This window comes from Homo sapiens, chromosome 2 (genome assembly GCF_000001405.40).
Source record: "Homo sapiens chromosome 2, GRCh38.p14 Primary Assembly".
NCBI lineage: Eukaryota > Metazoa > Chordata > Mammalia > Primates > Hominidae > Homo > Homo sapiens.
This window is the reverse complement of record NC_000002.12, coordinates 152,634,806-152,657,378: the sequence shown is the minus strand read 5'-3', so window position 1 is coordinate 152,657,378 and position 22,573 is coordinate 152,634,806. Positions and strand designations below refer to the sequence as shown.

Here is a 22,573-nt window from a genome sequence, read left to right as displayed (position 1 = left end):
TTTCAAATATATGTATATATGAATGACAGAGCCTAATAATGCAAATGCTGTGGGTTTAGCAAGGGTAAATGCCTATGAATCATCACTGGAGAGCATAAACTATGTAGGTAAAACCCTATTAGGGATCTCTGGATATTCTGATTCGTTGGTATAGGGTGGGTTTTTTTTTAGAGCTGAAACAGGTGAGTCTGAGTCACATCGTAAGTGAAGAGTGAATGTTTCCTTTGTACTTTCTAGCAGCTTATGGTGGGTTAAATGAAATCCCTGGAGTGAATGAAAGAGGACGATATGGGAACTATCCACTTTTCAAAGGTTGTGTCTTACGGTGCAGTATTATTTTTGTTTGTTCAGCCTAAATCTTGTCCTGCTCATTAGTCTTGTGTATTTATTTGGCACAGGAATCCATATGCTTAAAGCATACTACTTCTGTTTCTGTGATAATACTTGTGGAACCAGGGGGAAGCTACAAAATTAGCAAGGAATAGGCCAGGTGCAGTGGCTCACACCTGTGATCCTAGCCCTTTGGGAGGCCGAGGTGGGCAGATCACGAGGTCAGGAGTCGAGACCAGCCTGGCCAACATGGCAAAACCCCATCTCTACTAAAAATACAAAAATGAGCCGGGCTTGGTGGCAGGCACCTGTAATCCCAGCTACTCAGGAGGCTGAGGCAGGAGAATTGCTTGAACCCAGGAGGCAGAGGTTGCAGAGAGCCGAGATCGTGCCACTGCACTCCAGCCTGGGTGACAAGAACAAGACTCTGTCTCAACAAAAAAATTAGCAAGGAATGTATTATCTAGGAAATGAATACCTGGCTTCCATTAAATGGAAATATTGCTTCATATTCACACAGTCTTTAAACCCTGTGAAATGTGTTTCTTTGGAAGAGAGTTTATATAGATATTGGATTCTTTTTTCAAAGGCTCAGCCCGTAAACCTCTGAGTACTGATGTCAACTATAATTGTAATCAATGTCTTTTCAGGGTAATTGGGATACTTCTGGCAGCGAACTGAGTGAAGGGGAATTGGAAAAGCGCAGAAGAACCCTTTTGGAGCAACTGGATGATGATCAATAAATTATACCAAATATATGTTTACAGTATGATTTAAAGTCTGATTCAGACCAGGGACTCTATTTTAAGTTCAACTGAAATAACACTGGGTTTTAATTATATCACAGGAAAAAAAAAGTGCATTTAAGTATTGTTATCGTGGACTTTATAAAAGCAAAGGAAATTGAAAGTAACTTTTGATTCTGTATCAAGAATCATATTTTCATACAGTCATAACTGTCTTTCTGTGACCCTTTCACAGGGCACTGTAGGATGGATTAAAGGTGGCAATTTACTGATAACTGCAGATGTCTCTACTTTGTTCTAAAATCTAAGTCATGAGGTGATTTGATTTACTTTATAGAAGCTGGATTTTGAAGATCTAATGAAAAATTTTTTGATAATATAGTAGTACAAAAAAAGCACCAGCAACTGATAAAAATTGCTTTTTTGTGCGCTACCCAACTGGTTAAAGCCAATGTGATCTTTTATGGTGAAACTCCTAAGAAACAGGTGGTTTTGCTGGAAACTTGGTAGACCCTTAATTATAGTGGTGCTAATGAGCACTACTGTAATATAAAGCCACCATTATTTTTTATCAAACATCTGAATACATTTTACAAAGGCTATTGTGAGGGCATTATTTTGAGCATCTATTTTGAGGTGATGTTTAAAAAAACTTTAACATCAAATCAAATTGTAAATTAATTTAAATATATTGCCTTAAGGACCTACTAAAGAATGTGCCACCAGACTTTAAGTGATAGTTGCAATATCCTTGTCTAAAAAAAAAAAAAAAGTTGACTTAAACATTTTCTTTAACAGTTGTCTTTTTTTTCTAAATTCAGTCTTTCTCTTGCTTTTTTTTCCCTGCTATTGAGGAAGTATTTTGCCTTCCCTACTCACTGAGAAGTATTGACTTCGTGGTACACATTCTAAAGCATTTCTGATTTGAATATTTTTGTACATTTTTATCAATTATTAAACCTTCTCTTCTAGTGTGTACTAGTATTTATTTCTACTTAAACTGCTCAGCTCTAAAGAAATTGTATGATCACTTTAAAGGTACTAAATCCCTGAAATTTTGCTTCATCTTACCCACACCGCTAGTTTACTTTCCTTTTTTAATATTTAAGAATATTATAAATCAGTGCATTTGAGGTCCCTAGATTTGTTTTTCACCTATGAATTTTTTACAGACTATTTTAGAGAGGCTGTGGTTTGAAGACAGAATACTCTTTACATGCTAACTTTTGAAGGTTGGTAATGTAATTTATACTATTTTCCTTCAGTGCAGGAGATTTTTTAAGTAAATAAGTAAATTTTAGCACCTATTCTTCGGTATTATCTGTGTTATTCTTTTAATGTGTACACTTGAAGAGATCCTATTTCAAAGTTGGGATTTTGAAGAACAAAAAGTTTTTTTCTTACCCATCCTAGTGAGTTTTGAAAGTGGGCCTGACCAGAATGTCTCTTTCCCATTTTGCCCCGTTTGAATTAAATATAATGTCTACTCTTTAAAGGCTGAAGGGGTGGGTGAGGGGATTGTTTCTCATTTTGTCTCCCAAGTCATTTTTCTGCTGTGAAATATGACCAGGCTTGTAGGAAGACTCATCTTGGAGAAAATGTGAAGTAATCAAATTGCTTGAGATTAGTCTCCTATTGTATATTAGAGCCAAAACACATAATAACTTTGGCAACAGGGAGTTGTCTAGACTCAATTTTCAGAGGTCCCATTGTAGTGAGTTAATATTGCTAATCATGTCAATCACTTGACATGGAAGTCAGTGGCAAATCTTTAAAGTATGCATTTGATACTGGCAAATATATACTACTGATGTTTCACAAAAGAATCTTAGAATCTGTAGAAAACATTAATTACTTCCATGAATTATTTCTAAAGTATAACTTTAAAGTTTTGATTTTTCTATTTAAATAAAAAGCTATTGATGTGTTTTAGCATGTCCTCAAAATAGATTCCTGTATTTCTTACAGAGATAATCTTACTATAACCGCAAATCCCTACAACACAGTATAAAGTTTCCCTGTAGTTCACCCATGAAAATTATTTGACTTAAAAACAACCATAGTAGTAAGCCAATTGCAATTCAAAATGCAACATCCTTGCCATAAAAGATGTAACTTAAGTGACTGTGATCCTTTGTCTACCTTTCAGGATCCCATCAAATGGGATTTAGTTGCTAGAAAGATACTTGACAGTCTGAAGGCACAGGTGATAAGATTTTGTTCTCTGTGAATATTTTTAAACTAATAGGTTATGTTTTTAAATCTTCAATTTGGTAAAAAACTGAAACGTCTTGGAATATTGGTTCTATTAGAGTTAAATATGGTAAAACAGGAAAGCGTGTTTATTTTCAGATAAGGGGAATTTATACTTTTCATTAAAGTCTTGGAGTCTTAGGAAAATGTTGAGGGTTTGTCTTCCCCCAGTGTCATTAATACTAATGAACTATTAGATCAAATTCACTTATACATTTAATATCATAGTTATTCAAAATCAGGACTTTAAATATTTTTTTCTCCCAGTTCATATTTCTTTGTGCGAAAATTGAATTTGTATGAAAAGTTAGATAATTAAGCTAATCAAGTATGAAGTATACACTCTTCCTAAGTGAATTTAAATAATGTAATGCTTTTAAATAAAAGCAGTGGTCCCACCACATTTTTTTCAGCATAGTAGCTGGCATTTTGTTATCATTAGCCAGAGTAGCTTCAGCATATAAGTTATTGATGTTTTCCAACTTCAAAAGTGCATTTTATGCCTCCCAGTAAATTTGATAATGATTTGTCACAGCTTTGTCATCTTTTGACTTTTGCTTATGGGCCTCACTTCGTACAACTATAACATGAAAAAGGATTGTCCTAAAGTAAGGGAATCAGTTAATGGTAGGATGAAGAAACTGTAAAAACTCCTAGAAAAAAACCTGTGTGCATTTTTCTGGAAAGTTTTCAAACTGTGTAATTCAGTTTTCATTCAATTATATAATTTGGTTATATGCTTTAAAAAACATTTGTCTAAATGTTCCCGGTTTTCTTCTGGTCTTAGAGTCAGCTGAGTGCTGGCTATGCAGCCACTCGTATTTTTGCATCCAGAAAGGAGTAACTCCCTTTATATGAAGATTTTTTTTTTTAAGCTTAGATGCTATGTAAGAGAAAACTATTTGTAATCACATAGTACCCAGGGAGGAGTGATGAATGCTTTTTTAAAAAAGGATATTTAAGTATATTATGTAATTTAAATATAAATTATCAAACTAAAAAACTTCAGCTTTTAAAACTTTCTAAACAAAATGAAGCAAAGTACATTAATTCCTTCTATCTTAAATCTGAGACTTTTTATTTTCCCTTGGGTATATATTTCTCTCAGTGTTAGGTAGATGTTAATTCAACCATCCTACATTCTCTATATAAAATTACACTCATTTTACATGAAAGCAAAATAATGTCGTTACTTTCATGGAACTGTGTTCTAACAGGCTTATAATCTCATTCTGTGCTTCTGGTAATGGCGTATACCAGTCTGATGATTCTTACCATCCTTATTCTTACATTACTCTTCCAATTGTTTTGATTTTAACTGGTGGTCATGTAAGTTCCTCGGTGGCAGGGATTTATCTGGTTCATTTACTGTTATATATCCTTGTGGAATAGGACAGTGCCTGGCATATAATAGGCACTTTTGGAATGAATGTAAAATACTAGTTGAAATATGTATTCATCTGGCATCCATGGTACCCATCATCTGTATTAAAGGGCTTAAAAAAGCATCATTGCAATAAACCATACTAACCCACCACTAAAGTCACAGTCATAATTGAAGTGCACCCAAAATAAGGTCCAGTGACTGTACCTTAGCTTTTACTTCAGACATGTCCAAAACTTGTGAGAACATACAATTTAAAGTTGAAAACTCATCATTTTGGGCTATTTTTGAATAGGGCTGAAATATGGTGACATGTCAGGCACTCAGTTTTTTGGAGCTGTCTTAAAGGTGAGGTGGAAAGTGAGAGATGATTTTGCTCTAATTACCCACACATTCTCCCTAACCCTCCATTTTAAGACACTTAGCTATAATAGCTTAAGACTATCAAAACTGCTTTTGTGATTCTCAGTAGGATCTAGTTCAAAGCCATCTCAGTGCTAGTGATTGGTAATTGTTAATTTGATGGTAATTACCCTACTTGTAAAGTTGACATTCATACTGGCTAATCCTCCCTGCCCCTAGTCGTGGACAATGAAACAGTGAGTGGCTGGTGAATTAGATCAGATTCAAACTAAGCCATTCCTTGATGCTATTCTTCACTGCTGTTCCTTAGGGTATCTAAATGTGTTATTTATAAACATTTTTGGGGGCTCCTGCCTGCAAACTTCGGTAGGTGTTGGTCTTCCCCACCTCTACAACTGAGCCAAGGACTTGTTCTGAAAGGTGAGTAATAAATAAGGGAACAAGGTTTCTATTTTCTGTGTTTGTAATTACCAGATTTTCACCTCTGTTTATATATTATTCTGATGTAAAAGAACCTCATAGTTATATAAAATTAGACCTTTTGTAAATAAATATAATTTATTAGAAAAAATGGTATCTTTTACTAAATTGGATTTGTGTCAGTTTTTTCCTTTAAGCACCACTCAGGCAGCAAGCTCTATGCTGTGAGAGTTGCTGGAGGCCCACGTTATGTTTTCTCAGTGTAATTCCTCTTTTTCTTGATAAAAAGACTTAAAAAAAAAAAAAAAACCCATCACTGATTTCACGTACATGTTTGTTTCTTCAGATTTTTCTTGGGCATAGATGGGCTGTTAGTTTAAAAAGAAATGGAAAACAAATCCTTTTGATGAAATCTGATAAATTCATCTTTGGAGACATTTCTGATAAAAATTAGGAAATATATTAGGGTTAAGAAGAGTTATCAAACATTAAATAGGTATGTGTGGCTGGGCACAATGGTTTGTGCCTGTAATCCCAACACTTGGGGAGGATGAGGCAGGCAGATCACTTGAGCTCAGGAGTTTGAGACCAGCCTGGGCAACACGGCAAAACCCTATTTCTAGAAAAATTAGCCAGGTGTGGTTGTGCGTATCTACAGTCCCAGCTACTCGGGAGGCTGAAGTGGGAGGATGGCTTGAGCCCAAGAGGCAGAGGTTGCCCTGAGCCGAGATTGTACCACTGCATTCCATCCTAGGTGATAGAGCCAGACCTTGTCTAACAAACAAAATGTGGATTATGGAGCGAGTATAAGAAATGTATCATCTATTTATTTTCCAGTGTAAAATCACCTTATTCTACAGAGAAGATTCCAGTATGTTGAACCAAAGCAGAGTCAGTGATGGGTATCAAGCCCTATTCTATTGAGAGCAGAGTTGAGTCAGGATGGCCACTGGGCACTGCAGTGAATTTCAGTGTTAGATGATGGGGAGTGGGGAACGTGAGTATTTAATTCAAAGTCATTGGTAAATACCTTTTAAAAGAAAGATGAATGTTACTCTATCTGCCTCATTTGAACTTAACTGCTGTAGTTGAGTTTGAAAACATTCTGAATTTGTGGAATATTAAAAGATTTTTCTTTTACCATTAGGCACCAGTCTGATGGTAAAACAAAAGTAGAGATCCTTACTGATCGCAAGACTTTTTCTCTCATAAAATAAAGCTTCTAACACATTGTATAACTGGTTTAGTGGAAAGTGCACTGAATTGCGAACAAAAGACCTAAGGCTTTATTATAGGCATTTATTAGATTGCACCCTGGGCAAGTCAGTTTGCTGAGTCAGTTTCCCAATGTGCACAACAGTGTTAAATACCTCACAGGCTTCTTGTGAGGAATAAAGATTATTGCCTTTAATCTGTAAGCAGTTGTGTGTGACAAATGCAAAGTACGCTGTGGTAGTTGTGACAATAATTATATAAATTATAATTCCTTAAATGACTATAATATATATGCCTCTAAATTTAAGCCACTTGAAAGGTATTCTAAAATTTAAAATTTTTCTTGTTTCCATAAAAAGAACATATGAAATGTTACACATAAACTTTTGATGACTGGGAGTTTTATTACAACTGTTTGTGCAATGGGGGCCAAACTGCTTGTTTGCCTTGCCAACTGGTATGGTTATTGGGTGCAGGGTTAACTATGCAGTTAATATATAGCCTATTATCTTTATTTGTACAACATCCTAATTGTAACATTTGGTGGGGCTGCTGGGGGCGTTGTGGCATTTCACCAAACAAAGGTGCTGTTTACCTAGAAGGTGTATGTTTATAAATGCAATTTTGGAGATGTAGTCTCACTTCCAAGATCCATTGTCTATGTTTTATATAGCAAGCGGTCAAGAGTTCACATAGGGAGGAATCCTTCCTGACGTTTACCAAGTATATTTGGATTCTGAGTTCAAATAGCAAGATATATTTGTTTCTAGAAGGTAAGTCTACATAATATTGCTAAAACCCCCTAAATTGTACCATTGAAAGATTACAACATATTACAGAATAGTAGTGTAAATAGTTTATTATTTGCTCATATGCCATGAAAAGACCAGAAAAGTAACATGAATTGCTTTTATAAAACATTCTAATATTGCTAAGAAGCAGGCCCATTAATAGACAAACAGAAAAGAACATGCCAACGTTGTCTATTTGTAGATTAATAAATAGGCAATTATTTTAATATACATATATGTCAGCATTGAACTTTGGAAAACAGCTGCTTTGTAGTGGAAGTCCAACTTGGTCAAATTGCTATTTTTAATCGAAGTGAATGTTGAGTCCACAGAAAGACAAAATCGTGGCATGTTCTTTTTAAAGTAAAGTACACATTTATGGGAATGTGCCCGCAGGTGGCAGTTTAATCTTTCTGTAAATAGGTACACTAAAGTGAAATGTGGTAGGTAACTTGTTCCCTAAACTGTCCTTATAGTTAAATATATATATTAAAAAAAACTATAAGTTAAAATAACATTCAGATTGTATAGCATAGGCTGATGCATTTTAAAACAATATTTACAATATTACCCAGAGGCTTAGGTGGGAATTAAAGAGAAGTGTAAAAACCATAAAAAACTGCACCGATTTTATAGCAAAATATCTGTACATTTAAAAAGATCATATAACTACACATCCAAGGAAAAGGGACCTTCACCAAGGGGTTCACATAAGCACAACATAAAATAGGAACTTCAGCGGTTAAATACTATACAATAAACTTTACAATTAATATATTGATGTACCAAGAAGATAAGCCAGAAGCAGAATGTATATTATGAAAAGTACAAATTTAGCTTCAGTCCAGTTTTTGACTTTGGAATGGATCAAGTGCCCTGCCAGAGAGGAAGGAAAATAACAGTGGCTTAGTGGGCCATCTAGTCCCATTACGTATTATTTAAGCTTAATACCATGTTAATACTTTTCAGCAACTTAAACTGCAATTCTCCATAAGTAGTCTGGGAAATGCATGAAAAACTTAGCCTCGATACACGATGCCAAGTGTATCTTCTTGAATTTATAAAAAATAAGAAAAAATTGCGATTGTCAGAGGAGAGTAAGGCCAGGTTCCTAACACTACTCTGCTAGCAGATGTAACCTTGAATGCTTGTTGATAGAGCTAGTAAACTTCCTTGCAAGGCACCAATTTCTGTTCTCAGAATTAATAATGGTCCTCAGAAATGCTAATGCTGATTACTGAGATGTTAATTTTAATGCTAATAAATACACTTGCATTATTTAAAAAGCTGCCTCTAGCTGAAGAACACAGTACTGCAAATAAGTCTTATACACTATATCCCCACATTCATACTAGTGAATGCCTCTCACAGAGCATCGTTCTCTAGCGCAGAAGTAGTAGAATGTGAAACTGGAAACAAAGGATTGAGTGACCTTTGTGCCACTGCAGTTGCATCCTGTTTGCACTTTGCCAGGGCCTGGTTATAGACAAAAGGAGTTTCATCATGTGACTTTCCTTCTTCCAAATTGCAAGTAAAATACAAAGTTGATGGATATGGCTAAAACAAAATTCCTTCGAAGACATCTCAGCAAAGGACCCACAGCAGATGCATTGATGTTATTTACAACATCAGGAAACCAGGTGGGCCATGATGGGACAATCACAATGGCAGGTAATGAGTTTAATAAGAACTTTACATTTTGGTTAAAAATAACATACTGGTGTAAAAAGATACCTAATCAAATCAAATCCTATTGCTTTGATTAATCTGAACAGGTACTTCCATTTTTAGGCACTTGTTAACAAGGGTTGAAAGGAGAGCTCATTTTAAAATTCTTCCGTGTTTGCTAAATCTGAGCCCTTAAGAATATTTTTGTGTGTGTTCAAGGCTGCAGTTAAATCGTAGCACATAAAGTTCATGTGGGCAGTTTCATTCACGCACACCCTGTATTCATGCAGGCCAGTCTCAGGTTCACATTGTTATTTCGGCACCATTAACAGAACGCAAGTTCTGATCATCAAAGCGCCGCCTGACGCTTCTCCTCACCGCATCGGCTCGTCTGTATGGTTGGTTTCTAAGATCTGTAAAGGGGAGAGTGCCAGTGAGAGAATAGCAACCTTTAATAGCATGTGTCTAAGCAGGACAAAGGCCAGCTGGCAGCCAATCAAAGCAGCTTGTGTAGAAAAGTCAGCTAATGGGCCCTTCAAACTCACTGAGCATTGAATCAAAGACATAAAACATTTGCCTTCAATATTTACAATCAAACAAAACAGGATGTAATACTGGTAGGATTCTAGGACTTTGAGAGAAAAATACATAGATTATTTCTGTCACTGGCCAGAGTCTAGCTGAAGTCTTATTTTGAAATGTTTCTTAAATTAGAAGCAGCTGTAGCTTAATTTTTTTGTTTTGTTTTTATTCTGGAAGCCTGAATGAATAAATAGTAACTGCAATAAATTTTAAACTGCAAAATTAATAAAGCAGACTGTCCTGTCCCATCTTTTCCTCGCAGTTTTAACAAGAACCTAAAGACCTTCAGTTTGCAGATAAGGGCTCTATTATTTTCATTCCATTAAGCTAGCTGAGTTTATTATTTTGTAAATTTTAAACAAAATGATGTTCAATTAACCATTAAATCTAAACCAAAATAATAATCTATTCCCTGGCATCCTTTTCTGCCACCTATTTTTTTTAAGAAATGGGGTCTTGTTATGTTGTCCAGGCCAGACTTGAACCAGTCTCAAGCGATTCTCCCACCTCAGCCTCCTGAGAAGTGGGGACTACCGAGCTCTACCACCCAATATTTTTTATGTTACGTCAGCAAGAAGTAGTTGTGTGGGCCCTCCTGCATAAGAAAATCCTTGTTAAATGAATGAGTCAATCACTGCATACCAGTCCAAATAGGCATTGCTCTGTCAGGATGAAGTGGGAGGAGCAGAGGAATTTTATACAAGAACTCAGTATGAAGGCATGCTTTCTTGAGTAAGTCAGGTAGCTAGCCAGCAGGCTAGGCTATGCAGCCTCCCTTTGATGAAGTCAGGGCATAGTGAAAAAAGTAAAGCAGGCTTTATACTTTTCCTGTTTAATTAGTATTTACTTCCCTTTCATTAACTTAGTATTGTTGACTTCTGCTAGAATACATGCTATCTTTAGAAAGGGAAATACAAACAAATAACAGAATTAAACCAAATTGAATCTTTTGTATCCCTTTATCTACTCAACAAGTTGAAAATGCAGCTGATGGACCACATTTGACCCACAGAATGTTTGCTCCACTGTGCCCCCCCACCCCCCGCACATGTACAGTTTCCTGGTGTTTAAATTGGTAATTAACATAAAGACCAGGGTTTCTGGCTTCTTTTGAAAAACTGGAAGATCTGGCAAAACCGGGCCCCAGTTCCTACACAGCAAAAAGAAGTTGGAGCTAAGATCTGTGCTCTAGGTTCAGCACAGTTCCTACCAGGCCTGTTACCTTCCTGGCTCCTTGACTCATTGGAATTTGTGTGACCCTGCCCTACTCTTTTCTGGGGGGGTGGGCGGGGGTTGTGAGGGGAGGACAGTCTCTGTCACTGAGGCTCGAGTGTAGTGGTGATCTCTGCTCACTGCAGCATCCACCTCCTGGGCTCAAGGGATCCACACATCTCAGCGTCCCAGGTAGCTGGGCTACAGGCATTTGCCACCATGCCTGGCTAACTTTGTTTGTTTGTTTTTTTTTTTTTGTAGAGATGGGGATTTTGCTTCATTGCCCAGGGTGATCTTGAACTCAACAGATTTGCCCACCTCGGCCTCCCAGAGTGCTGGGATTACAGATTACAGGTGTGAGCCACTATGCCCAGCCTCTACTCTTAAATTTAAGGAAAAAATAGTTTTGCATACCCCAATCCTCTCAAGCCTCTGCTTCCTAGCCCACACTGGTAATGAAAGGCCAGAATTACACTTTTGCCTCATATGCAGCTTTGTGGTTCTTCATCCTCTGAGCAATTAGTTCTAAAGATCTTAATCCTTCAAAGGCTGTAATGTTACCTGGCCAGGACCTGCTTTCAGTCGCTTCAGATCAAAATGGGTTTAACTGAGTAACTCAAAGGCCAAGACAGGGGTAAGGGAAGGACAGCCCAACACTCAAAGCAAATACAATCATCAGCAAATACCCTTGCCCAAGCCATCACACTTAGAACTTAAAAGCAGGCCGAGAAAGAGTCCAACAGAGAGGCTCAATCCCTGCATCATTGGAATGTGAGGTACAAAAACTCCCTGGTCAGATTCTCACCAGTATTACCCTCAGCCATAGATTGAAAACCATTGATCTGCATACAGAGAGAGGAGGAAGCTAAGTAAAAAGTGATGCTTGCCAGCTCTGTGTATCCTCCACCACCGGTGTGCTAGAAGAAATCCTTACCCTCGAGTGAACATTTGGAAATTTAGTGATATTATTCTTCTTTAAGGCTAAACAGAAAAAAACAAAAACACAAAATGATGGTTAAGAAAAAATGGGATGAAAATGGAAAGCAACTCAACTTAGTGCTCAACATTCCCAGGCATGTTAGCCAACAGAGGAAGAGAATGAGAAGCCATTACTACAAGAAATGTTAGATCAAATAAGGGAAGGATGAGTGCATCTTCCCACCCAGCTCTCTGACCACCCAGTTCCAAGCTGCTTTGAAGATTGGCTCCAGAAAGATAGATATAGTCCAACAGCAAAACTGACAGCAAACATCAGCCAAGCAGATGACAGTTTTCTAGCCTGTTAATAAGCACTGGTGGGTAAGTACACTGCAGAGCAGGCAATGACACTCTATGTCCTTTGATATCAGAGATAGAAGAACATACATAAGTGCAATTCATAGAATAGTTATGCCACAAAATAAACACATACCCAATTCCATGTCAATCTCAGCACAGGAGTCAATGGCTACGTCCAATTAGAGTATGTGTTTCCCTTGTCTCTTTTCTAATCAACTAGACACTGGAGAGAAGTTCGTTTCTTATTAGGCATCAAAAACTGTGCCCAGGAGGTTACTTTGAAAAGTTTGACCCTTTTTTCCCCCCCAATTTAAAAACAGTGGCATTTTCCAATGATATTTGCTGTTAGTATTTCTGGTGCCATCATCCTGACCAAAGAAGCAGGTCAAGATATGATCTGATCACAGAAGAAATAGCCTGGGTTTGACATGGAACAGAGCTACCGGTGAAGATGCGTGAATGAGATAAGACAGTGGGAGGACCTAAGCCTTTGTATTCATGTCCTGCCTCACAGCTTTGCTCCAACATGGAATTACTGATAGTTGAACATGGGCATGACATTCAGAAGGAATAGAGGTGGCCTACTAAAGTAGGGTGACATAAAGCTATGGATTGCCTATATCTACATATACAAGCTAGGTTAAAAGGGCTCCCTGTGTTAAGCTCATATTACGAGTTCCATCATGCTATGGACGTATAAGAGAGTTAAGAAAGGCCTGATTTGCAGCTGTGCATAGTTCACAGTTCCTTCTGCAAGTCATTTTGCACTTTAGAGCACTTCGCATTCCTGAGCACTTTCATATGGCAGGTGATTATGCTATCAAAGCATATTAACTGGGTATAGGATAAAAGGGCTAGGTTAATATCTGTAAACCTACTTAGAACAGTATGTTTTGTTTTTTGTTTTTGTTTTTTTGAGACAGGGTCTCACTCTGTTGCCGAGGCTGGAGTGCATTGGTGGGATCTCCACTCACTGCAACCTCCACCTCCTGGGCTCAAGCAATGCTCCCACCTCAGCCTCCCGGGTAGCTGGGACTACAAGTGTGCACCACCATGCCCAGCTGATTTTTGTAAAGATGGGGCTTCCCTATGTTACCCAGGCTGGTCTCAAACTCCTGGGCTCAAGTGATCCTTTTGCCTCAGCCTCTCAAAGTACTGGAATTACAGGCGTGTGCCACTGCATCCAACCTGAACACAGTAAGTTCTTAATACATGTTAGGTATAGCAGTTATTGTTATTAATGGATATGTTGAAGGACATTAGCTCAAAAATCTTATAAGCAATCTACTTGGTACCAATACTGATTCTCAAAGAAGTGCTCTTAATATTTTTGCTCTATTTTTCTGAAAATTTCTGTGAACAATTCTATGAATTCAGCTGTCAAACACACCCAGACTGTTACAGCAATGTGAATACATACATGTATTGAAAGTGGCCAGTGAGTGAGCAATAATAATTGAAATGCAAAACCATGCAGCATGAGAACAACACAAAATATAACATGATGGAGATGGCAATTCCATGCTAGCATGTTGGTGGGCCCTGACAGACACACAGAGGGGGACATAAGACATCAAAAAACCTGTAGCAACCTTTTAAGAGCATCAGGTGAGAAAGAGTAATAGTTTAGTAATGGTATTCCTCAGTGAGAACAGGTTCGCAGAAAAACCGAGAGCCACGCTTGGCGGTGCGAGCAGTAAAGGGCACAGTCTTCAGCACTGCATTGAAAATGACAGCCAAACAACACAAACAGAAGAGAATAAAAAGCCAAGATCTATTGCATTAGTACATGGTTAGTGCATTGTTAATCATACCTGGGGATGGGGGTGGGGAAGATGGGCAGGAAAGGGGGAAGGCAATATATACTCAAGTTAGTTCATAAAGGTACAAAGGAATTTATCTGGGGCTTTGGGGTGGATCAGAAAATGAAAAATACTCCAAGGAGGATAAAAACTGCCCTATAAACAGATACTCATTCCCCTCTTCTAGTAGATTAATGACTTAGATCAAGCAAATAGAAAATGTACATTCATTTTATAACGCCAGGTGTAATTGGGATGGAGGACATACTAATGAAAAAGGAACTCCACGTTCTTTGGTTTTTGTTTGTTTTGTTTTGTTTTTTTTTGAGACAGAGTCTCCCTCTATTGCCCAGGCTGGAGTGCAGTGGCATGATCTCAGCTCACTGCAACTTCCACCTCCCAGGTTCAAGCAATTCTCCTGTCTCGGCCTCCCAAGTAGCTGGGATTACAGACACCAGCCACCATGCCTGGCTAAGATTTTTGTATTTTTAGTAGAGATGGGGTTTCACCATGTGGCCAGGCTGGTTTCGAAGTCCTGATCTCAAGTGATCCACCTGCCTCACCCTCCCAAAGTGCTTAGGATTACAGGCATGGGCCACCTCGCCCAGCCAGGAACTCCAAGTTCTTAATGAGCAAGGCTGGATGCTTCCCTAACTACAACTTCATTTTATGGCACTGAGACCAAAAAGTGCTTACCTAGGAAGGAGCTCTGCTCCTGGTCTTGCTCAGGGTGGAGTTTCTCCCCCAGCATGGAGGAGGCAAGGAGAGTGCTACAATGAAGGTTTTATCTGGGGGGCATCTATAAGCCACTGCACTATGTACACTGAGATACCAATAGGCACATTTGTGCAGAGTGTGTGTGCCATGTGTAGAGAATGGCATTTTCATCAGCCACTTACTATCTAAGACCTACACTGCTTTAATCTGGAAGGGAATTCATTATTGACTTCCTTTTTAATCTATCTAATCTACCTAATCACCTAACCTATGTATTTAATTTCCCTGGGTTTGAGCTGTTGAGAAAAAAATTTGTGGTTTTGACCATTTAGGATCCCAATGTACAATGTTCACTAAGCTATAACAAGAAATGAGACAGGCTGGGCATGGTGGCTCACGCCTGTAATCCCAGCACTTTGGGTGGCCGAGGCGGGCAGATCACGAGGTCAGGAGATCGAGACCATCCTGGCTAACACGGTGAAACCCCATCTCTACTACAAATACAAAAAATTATCCAGGCGTGGTGGTGGGCGCCTGTAGTCCCAGCTACTTGGGAGGCTGAGGCAGAAGAATGGTGTGAACCCAGGAGGCAAAGCTTGCAGTGAGCTGAGATAGCACCACTGCACTCCAGCCTGGGCAACAGAATGAGACTCCATCAAAAAAAAAAAAGAAATGAGACATCAAGAGTCTAGGAATTCTATTTTTAAAAATCAGGACAGTTGGGGAAATGTGAACTAATGACTAGATATTTGATATTAAGGGATTCTTAGATGTGATAATGGTGTAAAGTATGTTTTTGTTTTTATTTTTTAAGAGTCCTTATCTTTTGAAGATACATACTGAAATATTTCCAAGTGAAATTCTACGTCTTGGTTGTCAAGGGTTGGATATGGGGGTAGGTAGAGTGTACATGTAACAAGATTGGCCATGAGTTCGTAATTGTTGAAATGGATGAGGGATACATGGGACCTCATCATACTATTTTCAGTACATCTGCATATTATTGGACTGTCCCATTATAAAAAGCTATAAGCATCTGGAAGCTTATAAGCAACATTCATGTGCAACAGACATGAAGGAAAAGTCACTTGCTGCCTCTCCTACTAGTGCCCAAGTTATTACTCTGATCTGTAAAAGGAAGTACAGAAATTTGGGAGAATTGGTTCGAGGAGATAGCATTATGCTAATTCAATCAGACAGGAACCAGGCTGGGTTAACACAATTCTTGGCTGATAAAACCAGTTCCCAACCCTGGGCTGGAAGCCTGTTGGCTCACCCAAATTAAAGTACCTACTGACTTCAGTTACTTTGAATGAGTAAAGAGGCTCTTAAAGAGCATCCATGGACTGTGATTAGTACATTGCTGAATGGGTCTTGTCCACAGTGTTTATTAATCAGGCAGGTGGCTAGGTGTGGCCACGAGGAAAAAAAAAATGGAGCATGATGACATATCAATAACAATGGAAATCCTTTAAATGAAGGAGCTCTGCTGAAACTTACAGGGTTCCAATGCAGAGTATTGGGGCAGTATACATGCTGCTGTAAATGGACTTCAAAGCCTCTCTGCATCACTCTGGGTGTGAATAAAGTCAACTAATGAACTTGACAACCCTGGACAAAAGAAGCTGCAAAATCTGCATGCATCCCAGTCTAGGTGAGGCCAGTGGGATCTCCATGGGCCACAGTGAAGAAATATCTTTTACCTGTGATAATATCTTCAATGGCACCATCTTTTCCCTCATATACATGTCTGTTATCTTTAACTTGTCGTCTTCTTAATTCTGCAATTAACTCTTGCTGCTGCCTCTTTGATTTATGAGAAGGAGACTGAGAAGAAAGAAGGGCAGAGATTAGTGAGGCCAGCACCCATTAGGAGTTTGTGAAAATCCAAAATGTGCCTGAGCATTATGTTACTAATAAGCAGCTTCGGCCAAAAACACACACACATCCCACATTCTGCTCAGTTGCAGAGAACTCAAGCTTCTGGGAAGGAAACAAAAACTTCCACTGACGAACACACAAAACTTCACCTGGCAGCAACAAGAAGGCTGGAGTCTACGGCAACAAGAGGCAACTGGTAATGACCATAGATGTCTTAAACTGTGTTGCCAAGGATCACAATGAAGAAAACTTTGGACTGCCAGCCTTTATGCTCTTTACCTACTAACGAGGTTGCCCTCCATGAAATGTTCCCTCCATTCCTGCTAGCAAGTCCCTCCAGCTATCAAGGCCAGCACCAATGGGCATCTGCATAAAGCCTTCTCTGGATGCTAAGCCCTCTGGTCACTGGGTCATCTGGTGTGGCCTCTCTGTATATCCAACTAAGTTCCAGATGTCTATACGCTTGGATATGCTACACAAACATGCTCTTAGCCTCATTCCAGTGGTTGCAGAACAAAGTAATCAATGAGCATATTTCCATTTGCCAAGTGTCCAGGCACCAGAAGGAAGTGGTCAGGATCCTGGGCACACCTGGCTTGCTGGTCCTTTGTATGGCTTGCTCTGAAGAGCCCTCTCAGCCTCTCCTCACGGACCTGTCTCATGAGTGCGGCACTTCTTACCTTTGGATCCTGCTGCTCCATCAGAGCTTCTTGCTCTAGGAGTTTTTCCATGAGAGCTTGTTCCTGCTTTTTCCTCAGCTCATTTTCCTCTTCTGCTTGCTGGGTAAATCAAAAGAACCAGAAAGATGATGTTAATGGAAATGAGAGCAGCCAAGATTTTTTAAAGTCATTCTTCAAGCATCCTTAGTGAGTTGAGAATTACAATAAATGGAAGGTTGAGAAGATCTACACTTTATGCCTGTATTTAGCTCTGCTTCTGGGCTTCGCTACCTGTCACATCTCTTTAAAAGCTGGGAGCTGAGATTCAATTCATCCAGAAGTCCTTTCCTGATGATCGCTCCCTGTTTGAACTTTCTCTTAGTCTCTGTCCCACACACTGGTGGGCACCTACCATCCTGGCAGCTGTGCTCAGTGATTTTGTTTTCCTTTCAGAGACAGTCTGCCTACCTAGAGTTCCTCTGATAGCAGGATCTAAGATTCTTCTGCCTTCTGCCTATTGTTAGGGGAAAACCCTCATTTCTTTTCGGGGCCTCACCAGAGTGACACTCTTGGACTCTCCCATGCCTTGCTCCTTCCCAAGGAAGGCAGTGTGACTAGTCTGATGAATCTAGAAGAAAGTGAATAGGCTCACCTCAGCTCAGCCCTCTTGGGCACTCTTTCTTTTGAAGCCGGCCTCCCCGAAGAGACCTCTAGTTGTCAAGCTGTGAACTGATGGACAGGTCATCTACCTAATTTGCAGCTGAAGCAGAAGGTCACAGACACCACATCCTCCAGCCCAGCTGTTATCAGTAATAAAGTTTACATTTGGGTCTCCATTGCTTTTGTTTTCATTTTGGTCTATATGAGAGGGATGATGTCCTAAAACCCCAACCTCTGCCTACAAAGTCCCTAGGTGAGTGCCAGGCTAGGAGGCTATTCATCACGTATAGGGCAAGAAAAACATCCTGGCAGTCACATCACTGCCTGGCACATGCTTCACTGAATCAGCTGTGAAAAATCACAGGGAGGAACAGTGAGGTGGAAGGAGCACGCTGATGGACAGGCTGGGACCTCCAACACAGCCCAGACCACCAAGGGCAGCTTCTTTTTTCCTCTGCTCCACGCATATCCCTGCTGATGCCTCAGGCTTTGAGACAAACCCCAGCCACTTCCCAACCTGTCTTAGCCGATTTTAAAATATATTTTCTCTTTTGACCTTAGACTTACATGTTTTTATGTGAAAAAAATGGCACAGCACATGACAAGGGCCATCGCAGACTATCTCTACAGCACATAAACACAGCCAGCCAGTGGGCTTGGGCTACCAAGCACTGCAGACGGCAGCAGTTGGTGGCCCGCAGCCTTCTCATCACGAGCAAATCCTGAGTCTGGCACACGGAGTTTGTGCTGTGTTTCTGTTCACCCTGACTGCCACAGACGTTCCTTCTACCAGCAGCTTATAGCTCTACTGCTACATTAAGCCATGCTGAGGGAAGATGGGCTAAGAATATTTTGACTTTCTGAGTTTTAGTAAAAGGCCCAATAATGATTTTCCAGAGCCTTCAGCCCCTAGTGGTGTTAGGGAAGTGTCCCCCTATTTCCAACAGGACTTCTCAAAAGTGTGGAGAACCCTGCCACATCCCTCCTCCCCTCTGCAATAAACATTCCTCCTACCTCCACCAGTGTTATCAGTGCTACATGAAGATACGCCTGGAGGATATAGATTGAGGTGTTGCCAAGGTCAGCTAAAATCTTCTAACAGCCTTCTTGTAATTTCTCAAATGGACAAATCCTTCTGATACATGTCTCTTTGCGTCATAGGCTTTTTCAAGACCACAGCCCTGGATTATGTCCAAGAGGGCCTCCCATTTAAAGGAAGGGCCACTTACTGATCCACACAAAGAAACAGAGAGTGCCCATCCTTAAAAGCACCATCCTTTAGTCCATACTAGAGAAATGCTGGTCTAAGAGGTCCTAAGCCCTGTGCTATGACTTACACAAGCAGGCTCTCCTTAACTTCAGCTGTATCATGCACCTTCACCACAGCCCACAGCTCACTTCTACCCATTAAAGAATTCCACAAGAGGCCTGGATTTTCAAGTACTTCACCTTGCCTGCCTAGGTGAACAGTCAATGGGGCAGCAATGTCTTTGAGCATCTCCCTTGCCCCAAGGGGGCTGCCAAGAGCTTTGTTTTCTGGCTGAGGCAGAGGACTGGCTAGGTGGAGAAAGGGACCATAATGTCCCTCAGCCTCCACAGAGCTAGGGACTGCTATCTCGTGAATGCCACCCAGATCTGCTGTCCACAGGAACTGGGAGGCCTCTGCAGAGAGTTGGGACTCAGACACATCTCAAGGAGGGCAATTGCTTGAGAAATAAGGGCAAGGAGGGCCTTAACATATACCTTATATGCTTTCACAAACCGGACAAAGACAGGAAAGAAGACAGAGGGTGGTGTTGTCTTGGGGTTTTCTCCAAAATACTTCACAACATCATCAAAGGCATCCTGTGAAGAAGCAAATTTTTCTTGAGTTTCATTAGTTAGGCATTTGAACTGGATGCTCTAGGGGGAACGCTGATGCAAAGCAGCAGCCACAAGACAGAGGCTCCCATGGCCTTGCGTTGCTGCACCTCCCTTACCTCCCAAGATTGCCTAACGCCTCCGTGTTTCCTCCAAACGCCTCAGCAGAGGCAATCCGAGGAATGCAATAGTGGGGCACAGGAATTCATCTGCAGGACCTCCTGCCACTTCTACACACAGGCATACATGCATGCATGCACACGCACACACCCCACATACAAAACAAGGAAATCTTTCTTACAGGAGTTTCCAAAGGCCGTGGCAGAACCCCTTAAAACCAACAAGGTCAAAAGGGATCTTGGTCACTCTGACCCTAAATTCCACTTCCTTGCTTCAACACTCCCTATGACAGCCTCACACAGGGGACACTCAGTCTCTGCCTGAACTCTTCCATGATACAAGATTGCCCCAAACCAGAGGCCCTTCCACTGAATCTGCTTTCTGAGTCCCCATCCCCCAACTTTGCCTCTGCCTCTTCTGATAGCGTACTGTTCATTCTGTTTTGCAGGCCTGCCTATCTATCAGCAACCCCCAGTATAGTGTAAGATTTTCAAGGACAAGATCTACAGAAACCCACTACACAGGAAACACTGCTTTGCCGAGCACAGGCCTGACGCATGTGGGCTGAACTGAATACAGCACCCACACTGGAGTGAGTATTGAAGTGAAAGGGGAGGGGGAGGGGACAGGGTAAAGAGCCCCAGATTAGAAAAGGACAATGAGGACGGGGCCCTTCCAAGAATAACCCTGGGAATGGTCCCCCCGTAATAAATAATAGTTACAACAAGAAAGCTACCCTCCACAAACAGAGGGAAATGGAACATTTCTCCCCAAATACAGGGCCTGCACCACAGGCAGCTTTAATGGATGCAGCCTCTTCACAGGTTTCAGGGGCACCAATACTTGCCTGTGCGATCTTGGCATCATCCTGCAGCTTCTTCAGCTTCCCCTCATTGTTGAGGATGAACTCCTTCAGCAGCGTGTTATGGTCATGCATGGTGTACTCTCTCTTGGTCAAGTCCATTCCCCTCTGGAGCTCCTTGACATCCAGCAAAACATTCTCAAGGGAGACTAAAGCAGAGAAAGAACATCCCAGTGAAACTCAATGGGGAAGTCACAACCACAGCGAATCTGGCTGCTGGGCCAAGTTCTCAGGAGATTCTTAGGCTTACTCAAGGGCCCTAAACCTAGCTTCCAGCTTTTGGCACAGAGATCTTTTAATGCAAAGAAGCATTATAAGCACTACATTACATTCTTTGCATGCACTAGTTCATTTGCATCATTAGCTCATTTTGTCAATGAGCAAAAGCAGCATAAAGAGGTTCTGTGGCCTGCCCTTGGTCACACTGCTAGTAGGTGGCAGAGGAGTTCAGGTAACAAATGTGGACTCTAAATCCCACACTTGCACAAAACTATTCCATTTCTCTTACAAGAATAGCCTATGGGTGGGCCCGTAGGCTCAGAGGTCCTTATCTGCAGCAAGCCTAAGGTTTTGTGTGTTTTAGAGACAAGGTTTCACAATGTCATCCAGGCTGGAGTGCAGTGGTTCCATCATAGCTCACTGCACCTTCAAACTCCTGCCCCGACTTTCCAAAGTGTTGGGATTACAACTCTTTTTGCATTTCTCTGACTCTCCAGCAGGGGGCAGCCTTTTGTCGGTTGACCATAGGTTGTATTGATTACTAGGACCCAAAGCAGCCTTGCACAGCTAACAACCCCTCCCTATTCAGCAAGGTTTAGTGTGAACCTTTCTGTCTGCAGTGTGGCCCCTCCCGGGGCAGGCACTCCCCCACAGCCTCCTGAGCAGCTTCTTTAGGACGTTGAGTACCAGCTCTGGGCCCCCTTGCCTGACTCAACTCTGCACGTGGACAAATTATTGGTGCAAAAGTAACTGCAGTATTTGCTGAAATCTGCTGTTTGATATTGGAATACATTCTTAAATCAATGTGGTTATGTTATACATCATTTTAATGCACACTTCTCACTTTTTTTGCTAATGACGTATTAACTTGCTGTTTGTATTTATTTTAGACTACGGAAATGACGTTAGACAAAAAGCAAATTCAAGCAATTTTCTTATTTGAGTTCAAAACGGGTTGTAAAGCAGTGAAGACAACTCGCAACATCAACAATGCATTTGGCAATGCATTTGGTGGTTCAGGAAGTTTTGCAAAGGACACGAGAGCCTTGAAGATGAAGAGCTTAGTGGCCGGCCATCAGAAGTTGACAATGGCCAACTGAGAGCAATCATCGAAGCTGATCCTCTTGGAACCACACAAGAAGCTGCTGAAGAACTCAACATCAACCATTCTACAGTCTTTTAAAGCAAATTTGAAAGGTGAAAAAGCTTGGTAAGTGGGTGCCTTATAAGCTGAGAGAAAACTTTTTAAAAAATCGTTGCTTTCAAGTGTCATCTTCTCCTCTTCTACACAACGAACCATTTCTCAATCAGATTATGACATGCAACAAAAAATGGATTTTATATGAGAATCAGCAATGACCAGCTCAGTGGTTGGACCAAGAAGCAGCTCCAAAGCACTTCCCAAAGCCAAACTTGCATCAAAAAAAAAAGAAGTCATGGTCACCATTTGGTGGTCTGCTGCTGGTCTGATCCACTACAGCTTTCTGAATTCCAGCGAAACCATTACATCTGAGAAGTATGCTCAGCAAATCAATGAGATGCACCCCAAAC

The 22,573-nt window shown here is 40.5% G+C and overlaps 2 protein-coding genes across 41 annotated transcripts in view, besides 2 other annotated features; one reads left to right on the top strand and one right to left on the bottom strand.

The window, feature by feature from the left end:
• Positions 1-5,647, top strand: part of PRPF40A (pre-mRNA processing factor 40A) — a 66,288-nt gene extending 60,641 nt beyond the window's left edge. For 26 of the 28 annotated variants that reach the window (NM_001395477.1, NM_001395479.1, NM_001395473.1 and 23 more), the window contains one exon: positions 981-5,647. In NM_001395477.1, the coding sequence (NP_001382406.1) occupies positions 981-1,073 (93 nt within the window). In that variant the 3' untranslated portion in view covers positions 1,074-5,647. Of the gene's footprint in view, positions 1-237 lie in introns of all 28 variants that reach the window. The other 2 variants (XM_047444941.1, XM_011511447.4) reach the window with 1 other exon arrangement.
• Positions 4,761-5,466: an enhancer, noted in NCBI's record as "NANOG hESC enhancer chr2:153508427-153509132 (GRCh37/hg19 assembly coordinates)". NCBI's record gives its function as "activates a minimal SCP1, AML or CMV promoter by ChIP-STARR-seq in naive H9 embryonic stem cells {active_cell/tissue: H9 hESC(naive)}" and the evidence as "EXISTENCE:reporter gene assay evidence [ECO:0000049][PMID:30033119]".
• A 1,905-nt stretch (positions 5,648-7,552) lies between the features above and the next one.
• Positions 7,553-22,573, bottom strand: part of FMNL2 (formin like 2) — a 314,653-nt gene continuing 299,632 nt past the window's right edge. For 5 of the 13 annotated variants that reach the window (XM_011510530.2, XM_011510534.2, NM_052905.4 and 2 more), the window contains 5 exons: positions 20,789-20,952; positions 19,705-19,806; positions 17,323-17,421; positions 16,465-16,588; positions 7,553-9,583 (listed from right to left, as the gene is read on the bottom strand). In XM_011510530.2, coding sequence (XP_011508832.1) covers positions 9,474-9,583; positions 16,465-16,588; positions 17,323-17,421; positions 19,705-19,806; positions 20,789-20,952 — 599 coding nt within the window. In that variant the 3' untranslated portion in view covers positions 7,553-9,473. Of the gene's footprint in view, positions 9,584-11,851; positions 11,946-16,464; positions 16,589-17,322; positions 17,422-19,704; positions 19,807-20,788; positions 20,953-22,573 lie in introns of all 13 variants that reach the window. The other 8 variants (XM_011510531.2, XM_005246263.3, XM_047443111.1 and 5 more) reach the window with 2 other exon arrangements.
• Positions 10,568-11,767: an enhancer, noted in NCBI's record as "BRD4-independent group 4 enhancer chr2:153502126-153503325 (GRCh37/hg19 assembly coordinates)". NCBI's record gives its function as "activates an origin of replication core promoter dependent on BRD2, P300/CBP, MED14 and CDK7 cofactors, and independent of BRD4, by STARR-seq in HCT116 cells {active_cell/tissue: HCT116}" and the evidence as "EXISTENCE:reporter gene assay evidence [ECO:0000049][PMID:35650434]".